Source organism: Homo sapiens, chromosome 3, assembly GCF_000001405.40.
Source record: "Homo sapiens chromosome 3, GRCh38.p14 Primary Assembly".
Lineage (NCBI taxonomy): Eukaryota > Metazoa > Chordata > Mammalia > Primates > Hominidae > Homo > Homo sapiens.
The window spans coordinates 188,023,830-188,037,370 of NC_000003.12; the positions used below are offsets into that span (position 1 = coordinate 188,023,830).

General features: G+C 37.0%; 1 long non-coding RNA gene across 1 annotated transcript in view, besides 1 other annotated feature; it reads right to left on the bottom strand.

The window, feature by feature from the left end:
* Positions 1–13,541, bottom strand: part of LOC107986166 (uncharacterized) — a 48,325-nt gene that overhangs the window by 29,557 nt on the left and 5,227 nt on the right. The window lies entirely within an intron of this gene.
* Positions 12,632–12,926: an enhancer, noted in NCBI's record as "tiled region #10187; HepG2 Activating DNase matched - State 5:Enh". NCBI's record gives its function as "activates a minimal TATA promoter and a strong SV40 promoter by Sharpr-MPRA in HepG2 cells {active_cell/tissue: HepG2}" and the evidence as "EXISTENCE:reporter gene assay evidence [ECO:0000049][PMID:27701403]".

The following is a 13,541-nucleotide window of genomic DNA, read 5'->3' on the forward strand; positions in this document are numbered from 1 at the left end:
TAGCTTTCTCTCACCATTAGCTCAGAAAAAATCTGTCAGCGAAACACAGGTAAATAGATTATGATTGTGTTGACAGCCCTTTTCATAAGCTAATGGGCTCTCTAACCCATTCGTGACTGCTGTCCCCCACAAGGTCTTATAAGCAGATTGCTCCAGAGTTTGCTGAATTTGGCAAATTGATACACTGGGCTCATTTGATTTCCAATTTCTGTGAATGATTGTTAAGTAATTTAACAATACATGAGTGTGCTTAGAACGCCTTATGCAGCATTAGTTAGGGTAAATAAGCAATTCAGTTGAGAACAGCAATGTTAACACGGGCAAAATCTACTATCTTCCTTTTTAGTAGTGGATTCCCTTCATGTTTTAAGTGGAAATTTTAAAATATGTGCATACATGTGAGACTTCTGAGTCCTATCATTCATATTTGATCATTAGGGCTACTGCAGGAGAGGGAACATACAATTTTACTTGAAAGACGAAAGAAATCCAGTCAACACAAGGGCTAAAACAAACCAAAAAAAAAAAAAGTGAAACATTTCAACCATACTATAACAATATTTTTTTTTAACTTAAGTTCAAGTATCTGGTATTGCCGTGGCTGGGGAAATACTTTTATATACTCCTTGTGGGAGTATAAACTGAGGTAATATTTCGGAAACACAATTTGGCAAATATTATCAAAAGCCTTTCAAGTGTGCATACGCTTTGACGCAGACCCACTGATTTCACTTGTAGGAATTTATTCTAAGGAGATAATACTGGGTATGTGCAAAGATTTATTTACGAAGATGTTTATTGCAACAGTATTTATAATAGAAGCAATTAGAAAACAACAAATAGCCAATAAAAGAAAATTGGCTTTTAAAAAACAGGTACATGCATTTATACAATGTTATATTGTACAGTCCTTAAAAATTATGTTATAGAAAAATTATTAATATGAAAAAATATCCATAATACACTATTAAGCTGAAGAAGCAAGTTTTGAAACAGCATTTTCAGGATACCAATTTGGCAAACTCTCATATAAGCGTAGATTAAAGACATATCAAAATTCAGCAGTACCTACCTCTGAAGGTTGGGATTATGGGTGGTTTTTATTTCCTTCTTTATCTCTTCTGAATTTCTCTGAATGTTTTATAGTGAACACAATATATTTGCTCTACAAATATATTATGATGAGATTTAATCTTATATGTAAAAGATTCTAATTTCTAAAGATGCTATTGTTATGACGAAATCAGGCGCATTTTCCTACTGGCTTAATTCACAACGCTAAGTGAACGAAACCTTTTTTTGGCACTTCTGACTACTACAGCGCCAAACATACTCCATCTTTTAAAGCAAGTTTGAAAACCAGTGGACAATTCTACAATTAGCCAAGATACTCAGTTCAGTTTCCTTGAAATAAAAAGATGTGTGGAGTCTTTCAGGACAGGAAGAGAATATTAGTATTACCACCCAAGAGCATTAGATGTGGAGTCAAAACAACCACAGTCAAGTTCAAATTCTAATACTAACTACCAGGTGACTTGAGCAAGTCTCTTAGTCCTTCCATAGGGCTCCCAGACTGGAACTATATAGATATACTGATTTTTCTTTAAAAACATAAGGGATATGAAAGATCAATGTGCATTTACCTAAAATACCACCAAAGCAGTCATATGTTATATAGCACATAGCTTTAAGTCATCTCTAGACAAGAATCACAATAACTAATAACCAGTCTTGGTTAGAATGACATTGATGAAACTGATTTTCTTTTTCTTTTTGTCTTTATGTCTGCTGTTTGTTGTTTTATTTGATATATGTGAAATAAAACATACACTGACGCACAAAGTGCGTAAGTCATAAATGTACAGTTTAACATATTATTGCAATGTAAGCCCCAGTGTAAGCCCCACCCAAGTGAAGAACTGGAAAAGAGCCAGCACCTCGAAGGACCGATGTGCCGCTTCCCAATCACACTGCCTTTCTTGCCCTGGAGTCACCACTCTCCTGATGTTACTGTGATCATTTCCTTGATTTGCTGTATAGTTTTACCACCTAAGTTTGCATTAACAATACCGTTTACTTGTGTTTAGTTTTGAACTTATATAAATGGAATCATACAGGAAAAATTGTCATGTTATGATGGTTGTAAAAAACATTTTGTAAAGTGTAAAATATGCATGAGTAAATGACATTATTATCAGCAATCCTATTATGTGGGAACATAGACATTGAGTTGCAACCATCTAAAGCAGGTGGCTGATCTCATAATTTTGATGTTAAGTCATTTGCAGTCAGGTCTAGACATCCTCACCTCTCCAGATAGTCAGCCTAAGCTCACGGACAAGGATCCACTGAAGCTCTGTATTTGTGACTTCTTGTGCCACCTGGATGGAAAAATACTCACCCAAGGCTGAAGGGGTCCATAAACACCTGCTTTGTTCATAAACAAGCAGGCTTCCCTCTGTTGAGTGAGTTCCCCAGTTATTATCAAGGCTCTAAGGTCATAACTGGTTAATTGTTGGCTAGAAATCAATACACACAGAGTGATGATTTTTGATAAGAGCTTATAATAAGCAAGTTCAAGTTCAAAAGACTTGCTGTCTTTTTGCTCTTACATGCTGAAGAAAAGGTGCTGATCTCTTTTGTTGGAAAAAACCATAGCCCCACTCATGCTGCTAGCTAAATTAAGAACTACTTAATATTTTTAATAGGGCTTTGGCCAATTCATTTTGTCCTTATGCCCAGGTATTCAAACACTACCTAGAATTTTTTTTTAATTGCAAGCAAATTCATCAACCTATTCTCTGGCATCATGAGGCCTCAGGGTTATAGCTACCCTTTGTCCCAGTTTTGAAACAATCTTGCCATTCTTTGATGTTAGCGGCTACCTTGTGAACTGATCCATGGGGCTCCCAGTGCCTGAGGCTGAGGCTCAGTATCACCATGGGTTTCCCAGCTGGCATTTGGCCAAAGCTTGCCATTCCTCCTGTGCAGCCACCCATGCATGTGTACATGAGTACACGCATGTGTGAATGGGTGGGTGTGTTCAAGCGTGTGTAGGCATACTGTCTGCTCATTCCACAAGTAGCATTACTGTGGATGGTAGCAATAACAGTAAGAATGCTTTTCATATAGTAAATGTTGGGTAAATGAGTGAACAAATGAGTAACGCTTCAACAGGCTTTCTACCCGAACATTCCTCTTCTCACAACTGAGCCCGTCTGAATTCCACCTTCGGGCTCAAAACTGCCATTCCAAGGACTAATTCAAGACTTAGTCAAGTAGAATTTCAGGGGCTTTAGTCCAGATTCTCAAAAGATTCAGAATTCATTGTACCTGGCCAATCCTCCCATGATGATGTTCAGTCCAAATTTGGATCACTGCTTTGTTTCTCTCCATAGAAGCCAGGTGCACTCCTCCTTGAGTATCTGGAGCACTTGCTACTCAGCCTGGAGACCTTGTTAACTATTTCCATTCCCATAGACAGTGGACATCATCTTCCTAAATTCAAGTAACTAGGACTGACTTCTTATGCTACTCAGACTCTGCCCAAATTAACATGTGGCTTTGTCTCATTATTGGAAGATTCTTTGCCAAAACCTTTACCTTTCTCTGGTCCTCCCTGATCCTGACCAAAGCCACTTCTTATCATACTCTCCACATGCCGCATCTATTCACTGGAATTTCTCACCTCACTAGCATCTTGGTCTGTCCTCAGAACATCATGATGGGCATCTCTAATTTCCAGTTCCACTACTGTCCTGATCTGCCCTTTCCATTGCCTACTGAAAGGCCTTCAAATTTTAAATTAAATATAACCAAAAATTTAATTTTTTTTCTTTTTTCCCCAAAGTGCCTTGGAAATTTATAAATAATAAATTTTAAAAATAAACTTTCAAAGTAAGTAAATAAGCAAAAAGAAAACAATCATAAACTTTGTGAAAGTATGGGTACAAATGGAAAGACATACCATGTTTTTGGATTGGAAGACTGGGTACAGTCAAGAAGTCAATTCTTTACAAATTGATAAATAGAGTTAATAAAATTCCAATCAAAATCCCTAGAAAGATTTTTTTTAATGTGTAAAGAAACTGATTCTAAAGGTTATATGGAAATACAAGGAACTAGAATAATCAAAACGAGTCTGAAAAAGAAGAATAAAGTTGGAGGATTGGCCCTGCCTCCCTGCCTGATTTCACAGCCTATTATACAGTAATCAGAAAGTGTGGTATTAGCAAACAAATAGACACATAGATCACTGAGAAAGAATAAAGACTCCAGAAATACGCTTATATGCGTATGGCCAATTAATTTCTTACAGACACAAAGACAATTTAGTTTATTTTCAGAAACTTATGCTGGAACATATATATCTGTATGTGCTAATATGTGAACCACTTCAACCTAAACATCACACCTTATAAAAAATTAAATTAACTCAAAACAGATCACAGATTTAAGTATAACATGTAAAGCTATAAAATGTTTAGAAGAAGAAATAGGAGAAATCTTTATGACCTAGGGCTAGGCAGAGATCCCTTTGATATGACATTAAAAATACAATATATAAGATTTTAAAAATGAGTTGATTGAGCTTTATCAAAATTAAAAAATCTTTTCTCTAGGAAAGATAGATACTATTAAGACAATGAAAAAATAAGGTAAAGACTGGAAGAAAATAGCTCCAAATCACATATCTAACAAAGGACCTATATCTAGAATATATAAAGAACTCTCAAAACTCAATAGTAAAACAATCCAATTTTTCAAAATATGCAAGAGAATGAAGAGACACTACAACATAGATGATATACAGATGGCAAATAAGCACATAAGGAAATACACAACATCATTAGCCATTAGGAAATAAAAATTAAAATCACAATTGGATATCGCTACGTATCTATTGTTTTTGTTTTCATTTTATTTGAGACAGAGTCTTGCTTTGTCACCCAGGCTGGAGTGCAGTGGCGCGATCTTGGCTCACTGCAACCTCTGCCTCCTGGGTTCAAGCGTTTCTCATGCCTCAGCCTCCTGAGTAGCTGGGATTACAGGTGTGCACCACGACGCCCGGCTAATTTTTTGTATTTTTAATAGAGATGGGGTTTCACTGTGTTGGCCAGGCTGGTCTTGAACTCCTGTCCTCAAGTGATCTGCCTGCCTCAGCCTCCCAAAGTGCTAGGATTACGGGCATGAGCCACCGTGCCCAGCCACACTATATAGCTATTGGAAGGGCTAAAATAAAAATTTTTAAAAACTGACAGTACCAAGTACTAACAAGAATGAAGAGCATTGATATTGTTATGCATTCCTGGTGGGTAAGGAAAAAAAGTAAAATACTCTGTAAAACAGTTTGGTAGGTTCTTATAAAGTAAATATACACTTACCCTAGGACCCGGCAAAACATGTTTACACAAAAACCTTTACACAAATGTTTATAGCACCTCTATTCATAATACCTACAAAGTGGAAACAGCTCAAATGCTTTTGAACAGATGAATGAATAAGCAACGATGGTACAGTCATATAATGGAATATTTTTCAGCAAAAATAAGAACTATTACTACACATATCTCAAAGGCATTACACTGACTGAAAGAAGTCAGGTTTTAAAAGTTACGTACTGTATGAACCCATTTATATGACACTCTGGACAAGGCAAAATTATTGCAACAGAGAACATATCAGTGGTTGCTGGGGCTTACAAGTAAAGGGAGGGTATGATTCCAAAGGACAGCACAAGGTTTTGTTGAGGTGACGGAACTGTCTGTCCTAATTGTTTTGGTGGTGATATAAATCTATACATAGCTTATACCCATAAAACTGTACTTTACAGCATGTCAATTTTAAAACCAAAACTAAAAAAAAAGTCTCAGCACACTTCATTTGAATCTTTTTCCATATGGATAAATATTAATAGAATCATTTTGTATTATATAATAATGTATAACCAATTTTAGTTTTAAAATGCTGTAAATAACTTTCAGTGTGATGAAATATGCATCTCCATACCAAGTTTTAATGGTTGGGTTGCGTTCCATTGAATGCATAGAACACATATTACATAAGGAATACCATGTTGAGCATTTGGGTTGTTTCTGATTTTTCAATTTTCGAAATGATATGATAATCACTCTTGTAGATAAATATCTGCATAAATTCTTAATTATGCTTTAGAAAATGTTTGGAAGTAAAATTACTGGGTCAAAGGTGTGAACTTTTAAAAAGTCTTCAGTATGTTTGTCAAAATGTCCTCCAGAAAAGTTATGCCAAAATCCCAGCCCCCTATCCCCAGGAGGCAATATGAGTGCCCATTTCACTATATGCTCCTTACTCACATTCTGCTATTATATTATGTGGGGTTAAAACTTCTTCAAAGCCCTCCCACATGTCAATATCAGAGGTGTCATCTTTAAACAAACAACCCTCAGAGCCCAGCACAATGCCTGGCACATAGAAGACACTGTTTAACTGGGCACGGTGGCTCACACTTGTAATCCCAGCACTTTGGGAGGCCGGGGCGGGTGGATCACCTGAGGTCGGGAGTTGGAGACCAGCCTGATCAACATGGAGAAACCCCGTCTCTACTAAAAATACAAAATTAGCCAGGCGTGGTGGCGCATGCCTGTAGTTCCAGCTACTCGGAAGGCTGAGGCAGGAGAATCGCTTGAACCCGGGAGGCGGAGGTTGCAGTGAGCCGAGATGGCGCCACTGCACTCCAGCCTGGGAAACAAGAGAGAAACTCCGTCTCCAAAAAAAAAAAAAAGAGGACACTGTTTTTAATATTTGTGTTTGTTGGCAAGAATAAATGAATGACCTACATTTGTCTTTGGCAATAACTTTTCCTATTTAAAGCTAAACTCTTTAGAGTTACTAAATATTTCAAGCAGCAATTATTAATTCAGCACTAGAGCAATGATCTCAAAACATTTTTTTAAATCAAACTCCACCAAGAAGAAAATGTGTGCATTCACCTCAATACATTTATTTATATTTTTATATTTATATGTATACACTTCCGTAAATCTATACATTAAAGAATAATAAGGGTTAATTTGTTTCTTATTTGGAGTTAAAAATAGGTATAAATAAAACTTTGAATATTTTCTTCACACTCTTCAAAATATTGTTCTTTATATTTCCCCAGGCTGGGCACATTCTGCAGATTACTGCTCAAAGGAGCCTGGACACCAGATTCTCTTCTGGACACCATGAAGAATACAGCAAAGGACAACACAGGCCCTGTCCTCAGGATTTCACCAGCAGCCTGGGAACAAATGCCACACGAATTTTATAGCTATCAGAGTCATGTGAAAGCAGGGAATGGAGAGATTGCTTCCTACTGGGGAAGAGAAGAGTCTTCAGGGAAGAGGGGGCCCTGGAGCAGAACATAAAGTATGTAAAGAAGAATTTTGTGTTCTGTATGCTGAGAAAACCCCTCTTTACCCACGCCCTGGCAACATTACAGGATGTCATGCTAGGGAGTGCTGTTGAGTGGGGAAGAGTCTGTACACCTGCCATGTAATAACTGTTGGTGGGTTTTTCTTCATGTGTTTCTTCCTGTTTGTTTAATGTATATATTTTCATTCTGCCTCCAGGACACAGTGACACATATTTCAGTTTTGGCAAAGGACAATGCCGTAGGGGTGTGGGAGGAAGATGCCTCTGGCAAAGATGGCTGAACTTTGACAAGTTAATATCCAATGCTGCTTCATTGTCTTCTTATTTTCAAATATAAGAATCACAGCCTCCAAAACAGAAACAATGACAGTGCTCTCCCAAGACCTTTTCCCCTTCACTACTCTGAGGTGCCTAGGAATAACTTAAAAATAATGCATGCAAACATTAAATGAATAGTACTCCTTGAATGTTCCTAAAATGTGACTCTGACCCTGTCACTACCATGATTAACAGCTTCAATTAGTTATTCCTGTCTACAGAATGCATCTCAAATTTCCCTTGGTGGCATTCAAGATGCTTCAAATTCTGGCCTTTACCTTGACACCTGCTATGTTCCTCCTATCTCCTACCAGACACATCAAACCATATGCTCCTCCTTGCACACTGGCTTTATCCCCCATAACAGCTCAGCCAATTCACCACCACCCTGCCCCATCTGTCTAAGTCCCACTCACCTTCCTGTCCCAGTTCAGAAGTCACCATCTCTATGAAGCCTCTACATTCCCATCTTCCACCTGCCCTGGAAGAATCGAACTCATCCACCTTTGAGTTTCTATTATAATTCTTTTTTTTTTTTTTTTTTTGCTATTGCCTTGGAATATAGTCATCTGTGTCTATTTCTGTCTCTTGCTTAAGACTAAAAGCTTTCTGAGGATAGGAAATGTTAAATTATCTCTTTCTACAACACAGCATTTCACACCAATGAAAAGGCGACTTGTATCAGTAAGCTATGGCAATTCTCACCTCATTTAGGGAGCTGTTTAAATTTACCTAAATTTCAAATGTTCGCATCTGAAGAACAGGCTGGGCAGTATAAGGAAGCTACAAAGTTTTGTTTTGAGTTCTTGAATTTGATAAGCCTGTAGGACTTTCAAGGGGAGATGTCTAGAATGTGATTGGATATACCTTGCTGAATATAAGAAAAGATAACAATTTAGTATTCATCAGTATGCAGATAATAGTAAAAACTATGAGAGTCTATGAGATTTTCCTATAAAATGAGAAGAAATGTGCCCAAAGACAAAACCTTAAGGGGCAGCAGTATTTGATAATCAGGGGAAGAAGTGATCCCAAAGAAGAACAAGAAGCCGTGATAAAAAAGATACAAAAGAACTCCAGGTATTTGAATATTTCAAAAGAGAAGGAAATGATAAACTGTAGAATGCTACTAAAGTTCGATAAAGTAGGGGCTGAAAAGTGTTCATGGACTTTGGCAGTTAGAATGTCCTTCAAATCTCAATGCAAGCAACTTTCATTATGGTTAAGAGATGAATTAGTGTTTATCTAAAAAGAGGGTAATCCTTTCCAAAGTTAGAATAAAATGGAAGAAAAGAAAAAAGTTGCTTGGGCCCAAGAGTAAGTTTGTTTCTCTATTGTTTTGAAAAAAATTTAAGCATGCTTATTAGCTAAAGGAAAGGAATCAGTCCAGAAAAACATTAAAGATGTAAGAGAGAGACTCTAGCAACATATAAAAAGGATTATGTATCATGACCAAATGGGATTAATCCCAGGAATGCAAGGTTGGGTCAACACATGAAAGTTGTATTGGCCGGGTGCGGTGGCTCACACTTGTAATCCCAGCACTTTGGGAGACTGAGGCAGGTAGAACACTTGAGGTCAAGAGTTCGAGACCAGCCTGCCCAACATGGCCAAATCCCATCTCTACTAAAAATACAAAAAATTAGCCAGGCGTGGTGGTGGGCACCTGCAATCCAGCTACTCAGGAGGCTGAGGCAGGAGAATCGCTTGAACCTGGGAGGCGGAGGTTGCAGTGAGCCGAGATTGTGCTACTGCACTCCAGCCTAGGCAACAAGAGTGAAACTCCATCCCAACGCCCCCTGCCAAAAAAAAAGTTGTATTAATAGAATAAAGAAACAAATTACCATTTCAATATACACAGAAAAATCTTTGCCAAAATCTAACACCATTTCATGATAAAGACACTCAATGCACCAGGAATAAAAGATTACTTCCTCAATCTGATAAAGGGCATCTATAAATACCTCAGCTAACATCATACTTAATGATCAAGGCTGAACATTTCCTTTCTAAAATGATAAACAAGTCAAGGATGCCCATTCTTCATTTCTATTTGTACTGTACTAGAGATTTTAGCTAGAACAATTAGGTAAGAAAAATAAATGAAACATATTCATATTGAAAAGGAAAAGGTAAAACTATCTATTCACAAATGACGTATATACAAAATCCTAAGTAACCCACAAAAACTTATTAGAACTAATACCAAGTTCAGCAAGGCAGCAGGATACAAAATCTTACAAAAATCAATTCTATTTCTATATATAATTGATGAAAAATTAAAAATGAAATTAAGAAAATAATTTTATTTACATCAAAAGTAATAAAATTATTAAGAATAAATTTAACAAAACTAAGACAAGACTTGCGCAATGAACATTATAAAACATCATTAAAAGAAATTAAAGAAGATCTAAACAAATGAAAAGACATTCTATGTTCATGGATCAAAAGACAAAATATTTAAAACTGTAGTTCACTCCCCAAACTGAACTACAGATCCAATGCAATCCCCTTCAGAATTTCCGCTAGCTTTTTGCAGAAATTGGCAGTTGATCCTGAAATTCGTAAGGCATGCAAATCACCCAGAATAAGTAAAACAATCTTTAAAAAAATTAGAGGACTCACATGTCTTGACTTCAAAACTTACTACAAAGGCACTGTAATAAGACAGGATGTACTAAAGTAAACTAGATTTATATATCAATAGAATAAAATTGAGAATCTAGAAATAAGCCCTCATCTTCAGGTTTAATTGATTTTTGACAAAGATATTGGGACCATTTAATGAGAGGAAAAAAATCTTTACAACAACTGGCACTGTGACAACTAGATAGCCACATGCAAAAAAAATTAATAAATTTGAACCACTAATTTATACTGTATACAGAAACTAACTCAAAATGGATCACAGACCTAAATGGAAGAGCAAAACTATAAAAGATCTTAGAGGAAAACCTGAGTAAATCTTTGTGCTCTTGGATTGGGCAATGGTTTCTCAGATAGGATACCAAAAGCATAAGCAACAACAATCAGAATAAAAAAAAATTAGACTTTATCAAGATTAAAAATTTCTGCGCTTTTAAAAGTACAATAAAGTAAAAGCAAAAAATGTGAAAGTGGAAAGACAACCAAGAAAGTGCAAAACATAATCCTCACAATGAGAGAAAATATTTGAAAATCATGTATCTGGTAAATGACTAGAATCCAGAATATAGATATAAAACACAACTCAATAATAAAAATAAAACACAATATTTAAGTGAAAAAGCATCTGAACAGATGTTTTTCTAAAGATATACAAATAGCCAATAAACACATAAAAACATGTTCAATATCTGCTATGGTTTGAATGTGTCCCCCAAAGTTGATGTGTTGAAAACTTAATCCCCAATGCAATAATCTTGAGGGGTGGGATCTTTAAGAGGTAATTAGATCATGAGAGAATGCCCTTATGAATGGATTAATGCCATTATCATAGAAGTGGTTCATTATTTCAAGAGTGCGGGTCATTATAAATGATGGTTTGGCCCTCTCTGTTGTTTTCTCTTGCCCATGTGGTGACTTTTTTCACGTTATGACACAGCAAGAAGGCCCTCACTGGATGCCATCACCTCAATCTTGGACTTTCCAGGCTCCAGAACTGTGAGAAACTTTTCTTTACAAATTACCCAGTCTCTGGTAGTCTATTACAGCGGCACAAAATGACTAAGAAAACATCATTAGTCATTGGGAAAATGAAAATCAATAACCCAATAGGATACCATTTCACAACACTAGCATATGTGTGATCAAAAAGGTAATAATAGATGTTGGTAAGGATGATGAAAAATTAGAGCCCCTATGCATTGTTGGTGGGAATGTAAAATGGTGTAGACATTTTGGAAAAGTTTGATCACTCCTAAAAATGTTAAATATATGGTTAACATATGACCTGGCAGTTCCATTCCTAGATATATGCCAAAGAGAAGAGAAAACATGCCCACACAAAAACTTGTATATGAATCATTATTCATAATAGCCAAAACATGGAAAGAATTCAAATATTAATGAACTGATAAATAAACAAAATGTGGTGAAATATTATTTATACATCAAAAGTAATGATATACTGATGTGTGATACAACATGGATAAACCTTGAAACTATTTTGTTAAGTGAAAGAAGCCACTTAGGAAAGATGGCTTATTGTATGAGTTCGCTGATATGAAATGTTCAGAATAGGAAAAACTATAGAGACAGAAAGTAGCTAAGTGTTTACCCAAAGCTGGGGGCTGGGGGTGGGAAGGGAGTGGAAATGGAGAGAGATTTGCCAGTGGGTGCTGAGTTTCTTTCTCCGATGCTGAAAATATTCTAGAATTGGGTAGTGATTATTAAATCAAAAGTTCATTAATGTACTACAAATATTATTTTACACTTTAAAGGGGTGACTTTTATGGTACATTAATTACATTTTAATGGAGCCACTCTGGAAAAGAGAGAGCAAGGAACTAACTGATGGAATGAAGACCTAGAGGACATAAGAATGGCTAACCCTCCATGCCAGTATAAGACGTGGCTTTAAATAGTTCTAAGACTGAAAGAAGGGAGAACGGATGAGCACGAAGGTACCTTTGCAGGTGACAGAGTAAAGGTGAGGGAGGCCCCAATTAAGGGAATTTACTCCAGTGCCTCAATTTTCTAGAAATTAAAAGTAATATTAACTGCTGGAACTAAAGGGTTGGGAGTTGGGTAGAGAACTTGAGGAAAAAATACGCTAATTAATATAATCAAATGTAGCCCCTGAAGAAAATGAAGAGGAAGCAGCCTAAGAATAAATAAAAGAAGGAAGTTGGCATTTGCTAAGACTCTCTTTGCATGGCATCTGGCCCTCAGGCACAGTTTGTTCTCTTTTTTATTCAGCACCTCAGTAATCTCCACAAGAGCCCTAAGAAGACAGTACTGCCAGGAAACTGTTCAAACAGACATATCTGTAGGGGACCTCCGGGCTGCACATGACCCATTTTTCAACATCACTGGCCAAAGTGCAACAAGGTCACGTACTGCAAATATTTGTGATTAGAAAGATTCTTTCCTCTAAAAGTTGCCATGAGATAGTTCTGTGAAATATAAATATTGGCTCAGGGTGATTGACAGCAACTGAAAATTCAAACAAAGGCAATACAGCCCAGGGATCCTCTGTGGTCCCAGCAGTAGGGGAATCATGCACCATCAAGACAACATCACAGACCTCCCTACCTAGGGCTCAGAGGGTTGGGCAGGGTAAATTCTGCTCAGTGCCCCTGTTAGCTCACTACTGGAAAAGCAGAAAGCTTGGCTTCAGCCACCTCTACAGCCCAGAGGACTCCTCCCCTGCACCAGCCGGTAAGACAACTAATGTAATGTTGAGGAACACTCAGAACTGTTTCTAAGCCTGTTTAAGGACACACTGATGTCTCCAGGCAAATTAGCCTATTATCAAGCATAGCAAGTTGAATAATGGCCACCCAAATATATCAAGTTCTAATCCCTGGAATTTGTCAATATTACCTTTTTGGAATGAAAGGGTCACTGCTGATGTAATTAAATTAATTATTTTGAGATGTGCTTTCTGTGGGTTAAATGTGAGGATCCTCAATGCCATTCCAAGTGTTCTTATCAGATAAAGGCAAAGCAAGATAATGAGAGCACACATAGGAGGAAAGCGAAGGGAAGACTGTTGGCAAGTCAGATTGCTGACAACCCCCACAAGCAGGAAGAGGCAGAGAATAAATTTTCCTCTGGAGCCTCCAGAGGGAGCATGGTCCTGCCGACACCTTGATTTAGGACCTGTAGCCTCCAGAACT